This window comes from Homo sapiens, chromosome 12, assembly GCF_000001405.40.
Source record: "Homo sapiens chromosome 12, GRCh38.p14 Primary Assembly".
NCBI classification, from domain to species: domain Eukaryota; kingdom Metazoa; phylum Chordata; class Mammalia; order Primates; family Hominidae; genus Homo; species Homo sapiens.
In genome coordinates this window covers 124,368,475-124,383,556 of record NC_000012.12, presented here as the reverse complement: position 1 = coordinate 124,383,556, position 15,082 = coordinate 124,368,475, and the positions used below count along the sequence as shown (strand labels likewise).

Below are 15,082 nucleotides of genomic sequence, written 5' to 3'. Positions count from 1 at the left end.
AGGCCCCCTCTTTTTTTTTTTTTGAGTTGGAAGGTTTTATTAGACTAGGAGATTTGTGGGAGGTATGAGCACTGGGCCAAGGTGGCACGGGCCATGCTTAAGGCACCCTGTTGAGTGTGGTGACCACCAGTGAAGCCGCTGGCGTGGACGAACATGCAGCCAGAGATCCCACTGACGAGGGCGCCTCTTGAACGGTGCGTGCAGGCACAGCCACAGTGTGCTATGGGTTGGGAGCAGGGACTGGGCCCAGGAGAGCTGAGTTTGAACGTAGGCTCTGCCACCTACTAGCTGTGTGGCCTTGGGGAAGTGACCTGTGCTCTCTGTGCCTCAGTTTCCCCATCTGTGAAATGGGGACAATAATGGAACCCACTTCAAAGGGCTGTTATGGGAATACACTGGGTGGCTGCCTGCAGAGTGCTGGGAATGCGGCCTAGTATGCCCCAGACACTCTGCTAGTGAGAGCTGTGATGGTGCTGGTGGTGGCACACTCACGATTGATTGATTCATTCATTCATTCATCCATTCATTCAAAGAGGCATCCCAGAAGGATGGTGCAGAGCAGGGCTTTGGAGCTGGTGGCTTTGTACCCCAGCTCTGCCGCTTAGTGACTGGGTCCAAGGATACTGGGCTTCACCTCTCCGTGCTTCAGTTTCCACCTCTGTAAAATGGGGATAAGAATGGGACCCAGTCGTAGGGCTGTTGAAGAACAAGTGTGTTTCTTTTTGTAAAGGGTGGTGCCTGGTCCTTGGTCAGCCCTCAATAAGCATTCAGTATTATCCTCACTGTCCATTCAGCAGCCCCATATTCAGCGCCTGCTGTATCCCAGGGAAGCAATGGCAGCTGCCCTGAGGGCAGAGACATGGATGGGGTTTTCCTGCTGGGCTGTGGAGCTAACACTTCGTTAGTGGACCGTGGAGGGAGTGGGGGCTGCATTGAAGGATTCTGAGCTGAGACACAGCCCCCATCCAGGGCTGGACTCAAAGTGGGTCGTCCTAGTGTCGATGAAAGTGATTCTGATCCGAATGACACAGTCAAAGCTGATAAAGAAGGTGGCCCTTCTGTCCCCTGACGCTGAAGACTCTGGAGGCGTGGACAGGAGGGGACCCCGAGATCCAGGTTGGGACCTGGATGAGAATGAGTGATTTGGGAGTGTGGGGTTGGTTCTCGCTCCTGGCCGACCTTGAAGGAGCACCCTCATATCGCGGGCTGCAGAGAAAGCGGAGCAGATGCAGGGACCCACTACAGGAAGTGGGGCTCAGGCCAGGCCATCCGTCTTGACAGTAGCCGTTCTTGGTGTAGTGGTGAGCTCCCCATCGCTGCAGTAAGCAAGCAGGTCTCACCAGGAGAGGTGCCGCTGAACCTGGTGACCTCCACCTCCTGCCCCTCCCCTGTGCCTTTCAGTCCCAGGGAGGAGGGCATATCCCAGTGAATCCTAACGCAGTATCAGCCACCTCTGGCTGCTGGCCCAGCCCTGTCTGGAGTACAGGAAGACATGTCACCCTTGGCCAGAGAAGGAAGGAGTGGGGAAGCAGAGGGTCAGTGGGTGTCCCCTCCCGCCTTGCACTAGGTCTGGCCCGAGTGTGGCCGCAGGCGACGTCAGCAGGAAGCAGGATCCGGCGGCCGGGCGGGCGGGGCATGTCCCGGAGTTATGTAACACTTGGCATCAGTGTCTTCTACGAGGTTTCCCTCCCCCTCCTTATGGCCGAAGGTTACCCTTTTCTCCCATCTGTGAATTCAGGCCCCTGGGGCTCGGCTTCCACGTTCCTCAGTCTCTGTCCGCCTCAGCCTTGGCCCAGCCCCGCCTTGTTTTCTGCTGTTAATCTCTTCTACCTGAGGCTGCACAGGCCTGCAGAGAGATGGTCCAGCCACGAAATGTTTGAAGCTGGCCTGCATTCAAATCTGAGCTCCTCAACTCATGAGCTGTGTGGTCTTGGGCAAGTGTCTTTGCCTCTCTGAGCCATTGTCACTGTCTATCAGGTTCATTCATCTAAAGACATAGTTACAGAGCGTCTGTTCTGTGCTAGACACTGTTCCAGGTATGGTGGGAATACAGCAGAGAACAAAGATCCCAGCCCTTGAGGAGCTGGTGCGAGAGACAGGTTCACACACTCAATTTCAGAATGGAGTCTGAAGATGCTATGAGAAGAATGTAGTAGAAAGTGATTGATGGTGGGGGTGGGAGGGATGAGCTAATGATGGAGTGATCAGGGAAGACCTCTCTGATGTCTGAGCTAAGGCCCGAAGGAGGTGAGGAAGTGAGTTATGCAGATATCTAGGGGAAGGGTGTCCAGGCAGGGGAACAGCCAGTGTAGAGGCCCTGTGGCTGGGGCAGCGAGCAGGGAGGGCAGTGTGTTTGTAGCACAGTCTCTGAGGAGGGGAGAGGGGAGAGCAGCTTGGAGAGGCAGGCAGGGTCCAGGGCTGGATCACACAGGGCCATATGGATAGGGGGAGGACTTGGGGATTGTATCCAGGTGTTGGAGAGTTTGAAGCAGGGGGTGGCATGCGCTGATTTGCAGAGCAGCTGTGCAGGTCCAGTAAATTAATACCAGAAACCGCTTGGCGCATAGTAGGTGCTTAATAAACGTCAGGCATAATGATTAATGCCATCACTAGCATCTCCTATTCTACACACACCTCCTGATCCCACAGTGCCGGACCATGTGTGTAAGGATTAACTGTAACTCCTGGGACTCTCTCTGAGACCCAGCTTTGTGGGGATTCAGGGTGTTGGCACCATCCCCGTCCACTGCCTCAGAGACCCCACGCCGCCCCCCGCAGAGACACCTTGCACTCCAGGATGCTGGGCGCCACCACCAGGCCGACAGGAGACCCCTGTTCCCTGCGAGACTCTGAGCATCTCCCATGTCCCAGCCACCGCCCGGGCAGCTCAGGGCACCCAGCCCTGAGTCTTTCCTGAGCCTCTGTCTGCCAAAAATAGATTCGGGAAGCAGGGGGAGCCCTCGGCCGCAGCCGCAGAACCCACATGCCACCACTTTCTCAGGCCGCCACAGGCTCGAACTCTCCTGGGAGAGGCTCAGGATTCGGGGCAGGGCTGGGACTGGGCCCAGGACGTGTGCGGGGTTGCAGAGCTGGGCATCCCTGTGGGCCCTGTGGGCACTGGCAGGGGCAGGGCTGTGGCCCTCTGGCCGACTGTTGGTGTCGGAAACTGTGACTAACGGACGAGCAGTCGTTTCCCTTTTCCTCCCTGCGTTCCAAGGGGCTGTGCTCAGAGGAACCCTGTTTGCTCAGGAAGAAGGCAGGACAGGAAGTGATCCCACTCCCTGCCTGTGGCTGGGGCTTGGAGCCCGAGACCCCCTCTCCTCCCCTCCATGAGGCCCAGCTCCAGCCTGGCCACGGTGAAGGGCTGGGGTGGGCGGGGCCCACCTGGCATTTGCCCGAGAGCAGGCTGTGTGGTCTGGACGTCAGCAGCTTTTTCTTGGAATCCGGGTGCACCAGCGCAGAGGGATGTGTGATTCCCCCTGGCTGCCGCAAGGAAGTACCACAGACCGGTGGCTTCAAACAACAGAGATGTATTCTCTTCCAATTCTGGAGGCTAGACGTCTGGAACCAAAGCGTCCACAGGGCTGTGCTCACATTCAAGGCTGCAGGGGAGCCTCTTCCGTCTTCCAGCGACTGCTGGCAGTTCGTGACATTCTTTGGCTTGTAGCTGCATCTCTCCACATGTGCCTCCACTGCCACAGGGCCTTCGTGTCCCTGAATCCGTGTTTCCCTTTTCTTCCAAGGCTGTCAGTCCTGTTGGATTTAGGGCCCACCCCACTCCAGTGTGGCATCATCTTAACTAATGACATATGCAGGATCCCGTTTCTAAATAAGGTCTGAGGTTCCGGGTTGATGTGAACTTTGAGGGACACCATTCAACCCAGTACAGGGCTCTTGGCTGAGAGCTGCGGGCACCTCCAGGTGTGGCGGAGGGCCCACCTCTTTCTCAGCAACCCCAGAGGGATCAGGCTGCCGCCCCCCCGTCACACCAGGCTGTGGTGGGCACCCCCCAGTGTCTTTCCAGTCCCCCTGGGAGTCCCCAGTCACTTCGAGATGCTGCCTCCACGATGCCCCTGCTCTCTGCTGTCTATGCGTTCAAGCCCACGAAGGCTGGCCTTTCACAGTTGCTCAGCAAGTCAGTCAACAAACGCTTTCTGAGCCTCTGCCTGGCTCAGCGTGGGGACAAAGAGACACCCACCCCAGTGAGCTACCAAGACGAGTGGTTTGATGATGGTGCCTAAGCTGGGGGAAGAAGAGTGGGCTCTGTGTGTGAGGAGCTGGGGTTCCCAGGAGCAGGGTGCGGTGCGGGGAAAGTGGAGGCCCGACGATGAGGGCTTCTTTCCATTCCTGGACACACCCGGCATGTTCCCCACACTGGGGCCTTTGCACCTGTGACTCCCCGCACCTGCCACTCTCGTCCAGAGCCTGGCCTGGCCCATTCCCTCCGCCGTCAAATCTTGGCTCAAATGTCACTTCCTTGCAGAAGCTCTTCCAGACTGTTCTGTCCAGAGGAGCCCCTGCCTTGTGCTCCTTGTCCCATCCTGTTTCACCCACGCGACCCTCTGATCCTCTGAGTGCTGCTTCTGTGTGAGGAGCACGTTGCCAGTCTCCCCAGCGGCAGGGCAGCCTCCAAGGGCAGGACCTTGTCTACCCCGTGCCTTGTGTCCCCACAGCCCTGGTATGCAGAGCTGGGCACACAGTAGGTGTTCTGTAAAGGTTCAGGGAATGAAACGCGAGCTTCCCAGGCTGGCCTGTTCCCCCAGGGACAGGTGAGACTTGCATAGCAAGGAAAAGCTTCCTGTGTTCATTCACTCCACGTGTGCCGATGAAGCTGACAGGGTGTCCCCAGGAGGCGTGGTCACTCGCTCTGACTAGGAGACTCCTGGGCAATGTCAGGCAGGTTCTCTCGTGCTCAGGAAGGATGTCAGGGTGGCTGAGGGGCCAGCCTGTACCCAGAGTGTATCTGGGGCTCAATGGAAGAATAAAGCCCCCGGTAAAAATAAACCCTGGCACGCTTGGCTGCCGAGGTGGGGTGTGAGGGGGACGGTCACCCTCATTGCTACATGGCCGGGATCACTGCCCTTTGCACCTGCGGCGAGGCCCCAGGCATGGGGAGTCCCCGAGCTGACAGCCCAGGCCCCAGTCCTGATCTGCTGCTTCCCTGTGCCCCAGGAGAAGGAGAGGAACGCGCGGAGGAAGAAGAAGAAAGCGCCGGCGGCGGCCAGCGAGGAGGCTGCATTCCCGCCCGTGGTGGAGGATGAGGAGATGGAGGCGTCGGGCGTGAGCGGAAATGAGGAGGAGATGGTGGAGGAGGCTGAAGGTGAGGGCTGGCGCGGCTTGGAGGTGGCTGGCAGCTGTGGGTCCGAGCTCTGAGGGAGGGCATAGCGGGAACTGATCCCGGCAGCCTCCTCTCCCCTGAGTCATCTGGGTCCTCCTTAGAAGGGGCCTCGACTCCCTGGAAGGTGCGGGCCTGACTTGCCAGAAACTCACCAGTAATGGGCACAAGGATGAAGGCCATAACAATACTGAGAATAATCAGCTTCTCTGGGAGCCCCAAGCCTCGCTCAGCTCTTCTGATGCCCATGAGTCCAGTCTTATGCTTGGGTGACCAGACGTCCAGGCCAGCCCTGTGGGTGCCTGCTGTCTTTCACCCCATCCGATGTCACAGTTTAGAAAAAAATTTACTTTGGAAAAGTTTTTTTTTGTTTTTTTTTTTTTCAGACGGAGTCTTGCTCTGTCGCCCAGGCTGGAGTGCAGTGACGTGATCACGGCCCAGTGTAACCTCTGCCTCTCGGGTTCAAGCAATTCTCCTGCCTCAGCCTCCTGAGTAGCTGGGATTAGAGGTGCCCGCCGCCACACCCGGCTAATTTTTGTATTTTTAGCAGAGATGGGGTTTCGCCATGTTGGTCAGGCTGGTCTCAAACTCCTGACCTCAGGTGATCTGCCCACCTTGGCCTCCCAAAGTGCTGGAATTACAGGTGTGAGTCACCACGTCAGGCCCGAAAATTGTTTTTTGACCAGAACTCTTTTACAAGGTAACCAGCATAAATAGAACCTATCTGTCAGTCGGTAAATATTGTACAAGTTATATAGTTATTTTCAGTGTCTCCTTTTATTCCCAAGTGTCCCTATTTGAGTGATAAATAATTCAGTCCCCTTCTTTGGTGTCCCCGTTTTCTCTATGGGGAAACCGAGGCTCAGGCACTTAAAGGCCTGGGCCCAGGCGCCCCAGGTACCACGGAGTGTGTTGTTTGCACCAGCTGTAGACTAGACAAATGCCCCACCAGGTGAGTGCTGCTGAAGAGAGGGCGTAAAGCCATCGTGTGCATGGTGCTGGTGGGTCCCCCCGAGTCCCCTCAAATGCAGGACTGTGACCACATGAGCTGTGTGTTGTCCAGGGCTCCGGATAACACACGGCTCAACTTTGTTATCAGTGTGTATAGACCCGGGAACTGAACACGGGCTGCCGACACCTGGCCCCGCACTCTCGGTCACGAGTGCATCCACCTTCGACCCCCACCCTGTGCCTCTTTTTCCCTGTCAAAGGGGAAGCTGGGGGTCTAGACTGCTCCCCCTGTGGCGTGACCGAAGGCCCCTGGAGGACCTCAGCCCTTCTCTGCTGAGTGTCCCTGACTCTCCTTTCTGACTCTCTGAAGGAGAAACAAGCAGCCCGGCGGAGCCCAAGTCCTTGGTGAATTCAACCCTCCTTCCTCCTGCCCCGTCTGGGGTCCTTCTTGTTGTTCCTGTTGTCCCTCCCTCTCTGCCTTTGAACGCCCTGGCTTCTCCCTGGCAGAAGGTGCAAGTCACCTCCTGGTTCCATAAGCCCAGCCTGCAGATAAATCCAGGCTCCTCCAGCCCGCAGGGTTTCACCAGCCCGAATCCCCGCTTCCCGCTGGAAATGGGCAACTGGGCCCTTGGGTGACTCATCTCAAGTTGGGGGCGGGTCAGGGACACTGAGTCTGGCCTCCCCACCAGCTTTGGGTCTCTCTGACCCAAGTTGACCAGAAGCCTGGCTAGTGTCTGATGGAAGGAAGGCCTGGGCCACGAGTCCCTTGGGTCGTCCCATTTTGGGTCCTGGGTCTGTAGCCAGGAGAAGACCCCGGGAGCAGAAACCCAGTCCCCTCTGTAAATATCCCTCCAGTGTCTGAATGGGCGGGATGCAGGCTTGGTGGGAGCATTTCAGGAAGCCAAGCCATGGCCACACATTAAAACCGGAGCAGACGCCACCCAGGACTGTGTGGCAACGACCCCCGCATCGCTTGCAGAGCTTACGTAGCCCCGTAGGGACGGGGAGGGGCATGCTCTGCTGGGTGGGGGAGGAGGGAGGGCTGAGGTGGCTGGAGCTGAGGCTTCTGTGACAGTGGTGGTCTTCCGTGGCTGCTCTGAGAGATCAGGGACGGCAGGTGAGAGGCCCTGATTAAGCCTCCTGGTGCCCAGGGTGTTAGCCCATCTTAAGGACGAGGAGCCCAGGGGAGAGGAGAACCCCTCCCATGGGGTGTCCCAGCACATAGCCGGTAGGCTCGGGGTCTGCCGGCCCAGCCAGCGCACGCTGCGTGACCTGTCTCTTGTGCTCAGGATGGGGAGGTGAGGCAGGTGCTGGGTTGGAGCCTGAGGTTGCCCTGCCTGAATCTCCCCGGAGACCCAGCCAGCCCCAGCGGCACTGCAGGCCCCTCCCCGGGGGCAGTGGAAAGCGTCTTGTTGCATCTGGGCTGGAAATACACCAGCGCGGGGCTGGGAGTGATACCCTGGCCCAGTGGTTTCTCCAGTAATAATAATAGTATCCTCATAGTGAATGAAGCCATGCTGTTCTCCGCATTTGACAGATGGGGAGACTGAGGCATAGCGGGGTTATCCAAGGCGCATTTGGTGACCGGGGTTCAAACCCAGGCAGCCCGGTACTGGGGACCTCCAGGCAGAAAGGAAAGGAGGCCATCTGGTGGTGTGTTTCTATTTTTTATTTTTGGTGGTTTTTTGGTCACTCTTGTTAAGCACCTACTGTGTGTCAGATGCTGCACAAAGCACTTCACCTGGATTCTAGGGCAGCGGTGGCAGAGTGTTCCCTGGGATTTGTTAGAAGTGCTGATTCTTGGGCCCCAGTCCACACGTACTGAATCAGAAACCTCGGGGCATAGTGCAGCCACCTGCACTGTCACAAGCCCTTGGAGTGCTTCTCATGCAGGCTCCTGCCCCAGACCCCCTTGATAACTGTGAGACCGAGAAGTTAACTGCCCATTTTGTAGATGAACAAACTGAGACCCAGAAGTTTCATCCCTGGTCCTGGGGCCCTCAGCGTTGGCCTCCCAACGTCCTGTACTCTGACTGTGGAAGGAAGGGAATGACATTGCTGAAGTCACCAGGCAGAGGAAGGCCAGGGGTTAAGGACACAGGAAGCTGGGCTCAGTGCTCTCCCCTCCACAGCGTGGCCTTGGGCAAGCTGATTAACCTGTCTGCCTCCATTTCCTCATCTGCACATGAGAGTTGGTGGTCCCAGTCTTAGAGGTCTTAAAGGAGTCGTGTGTGAAGAACTCGGCACGGAGCCTGGCCTGTATGCAGCCAGCGTTGCTGCTGTTGCTATTGTTTCTAAAAAGGGTGGCCTCTGCTCTGGGGCCTGAAGGGAGGTGAGAAGCAGGAGAGACTGGAGGGTTGGTGGGGGGGCAATGAAGGCTGAAGAGGCCCCAGCAGCCCCAAAAGCCTCTCCCTGCAACCTTGCCCATCCCTGAGGTCAACACCTCCCACTCCAGGCATCCTGGGAGCCTGGTTCCACCAGGAGGCTGATGACTTAGGGCAAGGACACCCAGAGTGGCTGAAGCTCACTTTTCACCCTGAACAACCCCATTATTGGCTGGCCTTGAACAGGCCATTGGACCAGCCTGCTCAGGGCTATTGCAGGTCACCTGTGGCCGCTGGCCAGAGCCCAGAGGGAGAGGGCTCATCGGTCCATGGAGAAGGGCAGTCGGGGCAGGAGAGCGAGCAGCAGCGAGGCCTCACTGCTGTGCACTGGGCTTCAGGCCCCTCTTGGCCACGTTGCCTCCTCCCTCCCCTCCCACTACTTGGTGCTGCCTCACTTCTAACTCTTCTCTGACTTCCTTCCAGCCTTACATGCCTCTGGGAATGAGGTGCCCAGAGGGGAATGCAGTGGCCCAGGTACGAATGTGGCCGGCTGGCCTGGGGGGTAGGGCCGGGCCGGGGCGGGCATCCCAAGGTCCCCGGTCCTCCACAAGGAACCCCGCTTCTGAGCACATGCCTCTTTCTGTGAGCGCCACCGTTTGTGCTCCGCGGCCTCTGGGCTTCCTTCCCAGCACAGTGGCTGTTCCCCATGCTGGTCCCGGGCTCACTCCAGCAGACCAGTTTCCCGTCTCCACTGCTTTGCTGATTTTCACTGGTACGCTTGGGTCTCCGACCGGGTTTGATTTCCCTGATAGCAAATGCAGGGGTTTTCAAGTATCCCCATTTTACAGAAAATGGGAGACATTGAGACTCAAAGAAGAGCCGGGTGTGGGTTTGGGGGCTAGAGAGCCAGGAATGCGGCTGGGCTCTCCTTGCCATCCTTGGGTGCGTGCTTTCATCCTGCCACTCCGCCAGCACAGATCGCGCTCCTGCTGTGTAAAACCCATGCTGAGGCCGTTGGTGTGGGCTGTGCCCGGGGCCCCTGCACACGCACTGGCCTCGTTGTCCACCGTGCCCGGGGCCCCTGCGCACGCACTGGCCTCATGATTGTCCACCGTGCCCAGGGCCCCTGCACACGCACTGGCCTCATGATTGTCCACCGTGCCCAGGGCCCCTGCACACGCACTGGCCTCATGATTGTCCACTGTGCCCGGGGCCCCTGCGCACGCACTGGCCTCATGATTGTCCACTGTGCCCGGGGCCCCTGCGCACGCACTGGCCTCATGATTGTCCACTGTGCCCGGGGCCCCTGCGCACGCACTGGCCTCACTGCCCACTGTGCCCGGGGCCCCTGCGCACGCACTGGCCTCACTGCCCACTGTGCCCGGGGCCCCTGCGCACGCACTGGCCTCACTGTCCACTGTGCCCGGGGCCCCTGCGCACGCACTGGCCTCACTGTCCACTGTGCCCGGGGCCCCTGCGCACGCACTGGCCTCACTGCCCACTGTGCCCGGGGCCCCTGCGCACGCACTGGCCTCGTGATTGTCCACTGTGCCCGGGGCCCCTGCACACGCACTGGCCTCATGATTGTCCACTGTGCCCGGGGCCCCTGCACACGCACTGGCCTCATGATTGTCCACTGTGCCCGGGCCCCTGCACACGCACTGGCCTCATGATTGTCCACTGTGCCCGGGTCCCCTGCACACGCACTGGCCTCATTGTCCACTGTGCCCGGGTCCCCTGTACTCACACTGAGCGCATTCTACACTGTCATGTGACGATGATGGTGGCGATGGTGGTGCAGCAGCAGGCAGTCACCAGGCAGTTGCCCTTGCCCTCACAATTGCCAGCTTCTCCGCCCTGTGAGATGGGAACTATTGTTCTCCCGTTCTGCAGATGGGAAAACTGAGGCCCAAGAGGTAACCTGAGTTTCCCGTGGCACGCAGCCAGTGCGGGGCAGAGCCGGGGTTAGAGCTCAGATGAGAACATGGAGACCCCCAGGACGAAGGCCTTTGCCCACGGCCACCCTCAGGCTGGCTCCATCTGTCGGGGGTGCTGACCACCAGGAGGTCCTGGGGTTGGGAATTAACCAGGTTATGCCAGCAGGGTCAGTCTGGGAGAAAGGCGGCCAGGCGAGGGCAGCAGCTGTGGGTAGGGGCCTGGTCAGGGGCTTTGTCTCAGGGGTGGGGCTCTAGGCAGCAGCCCAGGTGTGTAGGAGCCTCGGGGCTGTTTTGGCATCAGGCGACAGAGCGGCCTCATCCGGAGGGTCAGGGCCATGCATCTCTTCTGGAGGCCCCGCCAGACCCTGCTCATCCCCTCTTCCTTCTCGCCCTGCACAGCCACTGTCAACAACAGCTCAGACACCGAGAGCATCCCCTCTCCTCACACTGAGGCCGCCAAGGACACAGGGCAGAATGGGCCCAAGCCCCCAGCCACCCTGGGCGCCGACGGGCCACCCCCAGGGCCACCCACCCCACCACCGGAGGACATCCCGGCCCCCACTGAGCCCACCCCGGCCTCTGAAGCCACCGGAGCCCCTACGCCCCCACCAGCACCCCCATCGCCCTCTGCACCTCCTCCTGTGGTCCCCAAGGAGGAGAAGGAGGAGGAGACCGCAGCAGCGCCCCCAGTGGAGGAGGGGGAGGAGCAGAAGCCCCCCGCGGCTGAGGAGCTGGCAGTGGACACAGGGAAGGCCGAGGAGCCCGTCAAGAGCGAGTGCACGGAGGAAGCCGAGGAGGGGCCGGCCAAGGGCAAGGACGCGGAGGCCGCTGAGGCCACGGCCGAGGGGGCGCTCAAGGCAGAGAAGAAGGAGGGCGGGAGCGGCAGGGCCACCACAGCCAAGAGCTCGGGCGCCCCCCAGGACAGCGACTCCAGTGCTACCTGCAGTGCAGACGAGGTGGATGAGGCCGAGGGCGGCGACAAGAACCGGTGAGTGGGCGCCAGGCAGCCCTAACCTTGGCTTTTGTCTGCAGACACTGAGCAGCGACTACCTACTTAGACAGCCGCACCCAGTCTGGCTCTGCCTGCTTTGGGGGAGCCCGAGGTGTGGTTAGGGAGGCAGACTTGGAGTAGAGTCCAGGAATGAGAGATGCAGGCCAGGAAGGGGCGGAGGTGTGGCCGGGAGGACCTCCCCAGGAGGTGACATCCAAGCTGAGACCCGGACAGAGGAGGCAGCCCTGGGCAGCGCTAGGGAGAGAGTGTGCCAGGCAGCCTGCTCGCTTCCTAGGGCCGCCCTCACAAGGTAGTTCGAGCCAGGTGGCTTTTAACAAATACAGTCCTGGAGGCCAGGAGCCTGGGGGCACCATGCAGGCCGAGACGCAGCCTCCGAGCCTCTGGGCAGATCCATCCCGCCTCTTCCAGCTCCTGGCCGCTGCTGGCGGTCGTGATTGCTGGCATGCCACTCCGTCTTTGGCTCTGCTGTCACATGACCTTCGCCCTGTGCATCTCTGTGTCCACACTTTCTTCTTCTGAGGACACCAGGCATTGGATGGGCAGCTGTCCTAATCTAGTGCAGCTTCATCTTAACTTGATTATATCAGCAAACAGTCTATTTCCAAATAAGGTCACATTCACAGAGACCCTGGGTTAGGACTTGAATGTACCTTCTCTGGGGGGACACAGTTCTACCCTCAGCGTGGTGGGAACAGCAAGTGCGAAGGCCCGAGGTGGGAATGAGCTTGGTGGATTCAGGTGCCAAAGGGTGGCTCAGGGAGGGGGCAGCCTGGCAGGACGGGGGGCAGCTCTCACGGGGGTGGGGGCACTGAGTCACGCCCTGGCAGGTGGGGGCTGCATTTTGTTCTCAGGGCAGTGAGAAGGCCTTTACGAGCCTCTCCCAAGAGAGCCAGATGTGATTTACCCATGAAACCATGTGGGGGATTTGCTGGGAGTGAGAGGCACAGTCAGGAGGCAGCTGCAAGTGCCCTGGGGCTGGTGATGGAGATGCGAGCGTGGTGGCCGTGGGGTTGGGGAAAAGCCACAGGTTCAACATGTTTTTGGTGGCTCATCTCCCATCAGCCAAGGGTCCAGGGCTCAGGATCACAGGTGATCACCTTGGATCACAGGTGCAGAGGTTCCCCTTGCAAATTCCTCTCCAGCTGGGGTGGCCTGGAGGACCCCAGTGTCGTCCTGTTTGGGTGTTGATGTCTCTGAGGTGTGTTCTTTCCTTTCTGGCCTCTGTCTTTGCTCCTGGCCTGGGTGACCCCACATCCCTGAGAATGCCACCTTTTACCCATTTTCAGCACAGATGCTTTGGGCCTCAAGGCCTCCAGCCCAGAACCAAAGATGGCTACCCAAGTTAGGGCCAATCTCGGTTGGCAGAGGGCAGACCCGCGGAGACTGCGTCCTGCTCACATCTGGATGGCTGGAGGAATTGTTTTCTGGTGGGGCAGGCAGGCCATTTTATTTCAACTACAGTGTGGTCTGTTTTCTCCCCTCCCAAGTCCCTTGGAATGGTCCTGGGCAGAGCAAGCGAGGGAGGAAAATCAGACCCGCAGGGTCATGCGGGGCCCTTGTCTCTGCCCTGGGGTTCACCCTGGGCCATGTTAAAGGGGGAAGTCCTAGGACATTCCCTAGGAACTGAGGTTCACCCGGATCTCTATAGGTTCCACAAAACAAAATCTCAGGGTCCCCAGGAACCACTGCCAACAGGAACCGCGCCCATGCGTGTGAGAAGTGGACGGCCTGACCCTGACCCTGTGATGAGCAAAGGCCTGGCCTGCGGGTTTCTGAGGGCACCAAATCCCTGAGCTTCTTGCCCGACAGTCCCAGCTTGGAAAACAGTGTTCATGGTGTGGCTGGGTCTGCCCTGGAGGCAGGCAGCCAGGGCCATTGTGCCTGGATAGCGGGGTCAGGGCAGACGGCTCCCCGCCCCGCTCCTGCTGGCTGTGGGGACAGAGTCATAGAAACACATGTTTCTGCCTTCGCCGGGGGACCGCTGAGGTCATGGGGCAGCCCCATTGATAAGCTGCCTCCCAGAGTCTGTATTTTGGGTCCATGTGGCTGGCCCCGGACTGGGGAGCCGGGGGATCAGCTTGCATCCTGTCCGTCCCCAGAACACTCAGGCTAGGCCTGAGGCCCCGCAGGGCACTTGCAGCCTCCCGTCCTCTCCCCTGCAGCCCCGCCCAGGGCCGTGTCCTCCCTCCCCGAGCTGGGCCTGGCGTACGTCCACCCCTTGCCCAGTGTCCAGCACACAGCCCCCGGGTGCAGGAGTCCTCGGCTGGGAGTCAGGACACCTGGTTTGTCCCGCCCTGTGCGACTAGGCCCAGGCCCCCGCCCTTGGGGCCTGCTTTGCCCTCTCAGTGAACGAGGCTGGACTCTGGCCAGCCTGCTGACCTCGTCCTGGCCGGCAGCCCGCCACCCCTCCCTCTGCCGGCCACGACTGCGCAGGGCCGGGCGGACGCTGGAGGACGCGGACGAGATGCGTCAGAGTAGGCCCTGGCAGCCAGGGCCTCCCGGGAAGGGCTGGTGGGACGGGCGGGCCCCCCAGGCGACCCCTGCTCCTGGCTGCCCGCCCAGTATCATCCCTCCTGCCTGGCAGCCCCAGTGGGGGAGCTCTGTGTTCCTGGATGGACGCAAGATGACTCTCATCTGGCCCCCCGCCCCGGTGACTTTGGGAGAGAGAAAATCACATTCTCCTTCGGCCCGCTGGCACTTTCTTCGAGGTGGCTCTGCCTGGGTGTTTTCTTGGCAGACGACCAGAGATAGTGGCTTCAATTGCAAAACCCCGAGCCTGCCTGCCTTCCCCTCTCTTACTCTTCAGAGAAGGTGCCTGGGTGCTTTTTTGGCAGGGCCTGGCCTTGGGAGTCCCCTCCCCCAAGCCTCAGTTTTCTCATCTGTAAGGTGGGCGTGGATGGCTTATTGCAAGAATAACTCAGTTAATGACGGGCCACAGTGGGCGCTCAGAGATTAGCTGCCCTCCTTTGGATCTGCTTTGGGACACCCCCTAGAGGTCACCCCAAGAGGGGGCTGGAGTGCAGCTCCTTCAGCTGTCCCTCTGGCATTTTGGAAGATCATAACAGCAATTTCACCTTTGTTACTTTATTCTGCAAGTGACTGATGGCACCAGCATGCGCCAGGCGCCGGGGGCGCTGGAAACTGCACAGACAAGGCCCTGACTCCAGGCACTTACATTCTAGTGAGGGCATGGAGAAGGAAACCATTGTTTACGGGATGAGTGGGTGATGGGCAGATGGGGCATGGGGAGCAGGGGAGAGTGGGCTGGTCAGGCAGGGAGGGCCTCTGGGGAGGTGACATTGGAGGGCAATGAGAGCCTTAGTGTGAGGGAAAGCCAGACCCCCTGGGAACCACCAGTGCAAAGGCCCTGTGGCCGCATGAGCGTATGTCCAGTGGACAGCAGAGAGGCCTATAGCAGGGTGTAGAGTGGAGTGAGCAGCCCAGGGCAGAGAGGGCGGAGAGGTCAGAGAGGTGGGCAGGCCCCACGGGTGGAAGTGACGGGTCAGGGTTTTATCTTGGGGCC

The 15,082-nt window shown here is 59.7% G+C and overlaps 1 protein-coding gene across 3 annotated transcripts in view, besides 3 other annotated features; it reads left to right on the top strand.

Moving 5' to 3' along the window:
- NCOR2 (nuclear receptor corepressor 2) overlaps positions 1-15,082 on the top strand; it is a 243,198-nt gene that overhangs the window by 184,056 nt on the left and 44,060 nt on the right. For 2 of the 3 annotated variants that reach the window (NM_001077261.4, NM_001206654.2), the window contains exons 20-21: positions 5,173-5,320; positions 10,947-11,535. In NM_001077261.4, coding sequence (NP_001070729.2) covers positions 5,173-5,320; positions 10,947-11,535 — 737 coding nt within the window. Of the gene's footprint in view, positions 1-5,172; positions 5,321-9,093; positions 9,145-10,946; positions 11,536-15,082 lie in introns of all 3 variants that reach the window. The other variant, NM_006312.6, reaches the window with a different exon arrangement.
- Positions 872-1,418: an enhancer, noted in NCBI's record as "H3K4me1 hESC enhancer chr12:124866685-124867231 (GRCh37/hg19 assembly coordinates)". NCBI's record gives its function as "activates a minimal SCP1, AML or CMV promoter by ChIP-STARR-seq in naive H9 embryonic stem cells {active_cell/tissue: H9 hESC(naive)}" and the evidence as "EXISTENCE:reporter gene assay evidence [ECO:0000049][PMID:30033119]".
- Positions 1,419-1,967: an enhancer, noted in NCBI's record as "H3K4me1 hESC enhancer chr12:124866136-124866684 (GRCh37/hg19 assembly coordinates)". NCBI's record gives its function as "activates a minimal SCP1, AML or CMV promoter by ChIP-STARR-seq in naive H9 embryonic stem cells {active_cell/tissue: H9 hESC(naive)}" and the evidence as "EXISTENCE:reporter gene assay evidence [ECO:0000049][PMID:30033119]".
- Positions 13,971-14,472: an enhancer, noted in NCBI's record as "H3K27ac-H3K4me1 hESC enhancer chr12:124853631-124854132 (GRCh37/hg19 assembly coordinates)". NCBI's record gives its function as "activates a minimal SCP1, AML or CMV promoter by ChIP-STARR-seq in primed H9 embryonic stem cells {active_cell/tissue: H9 hESC(primed)}" and the evidence as "EXISTENCE:reporter gene assay evidence [ECO:0000049][PMID:30033119]".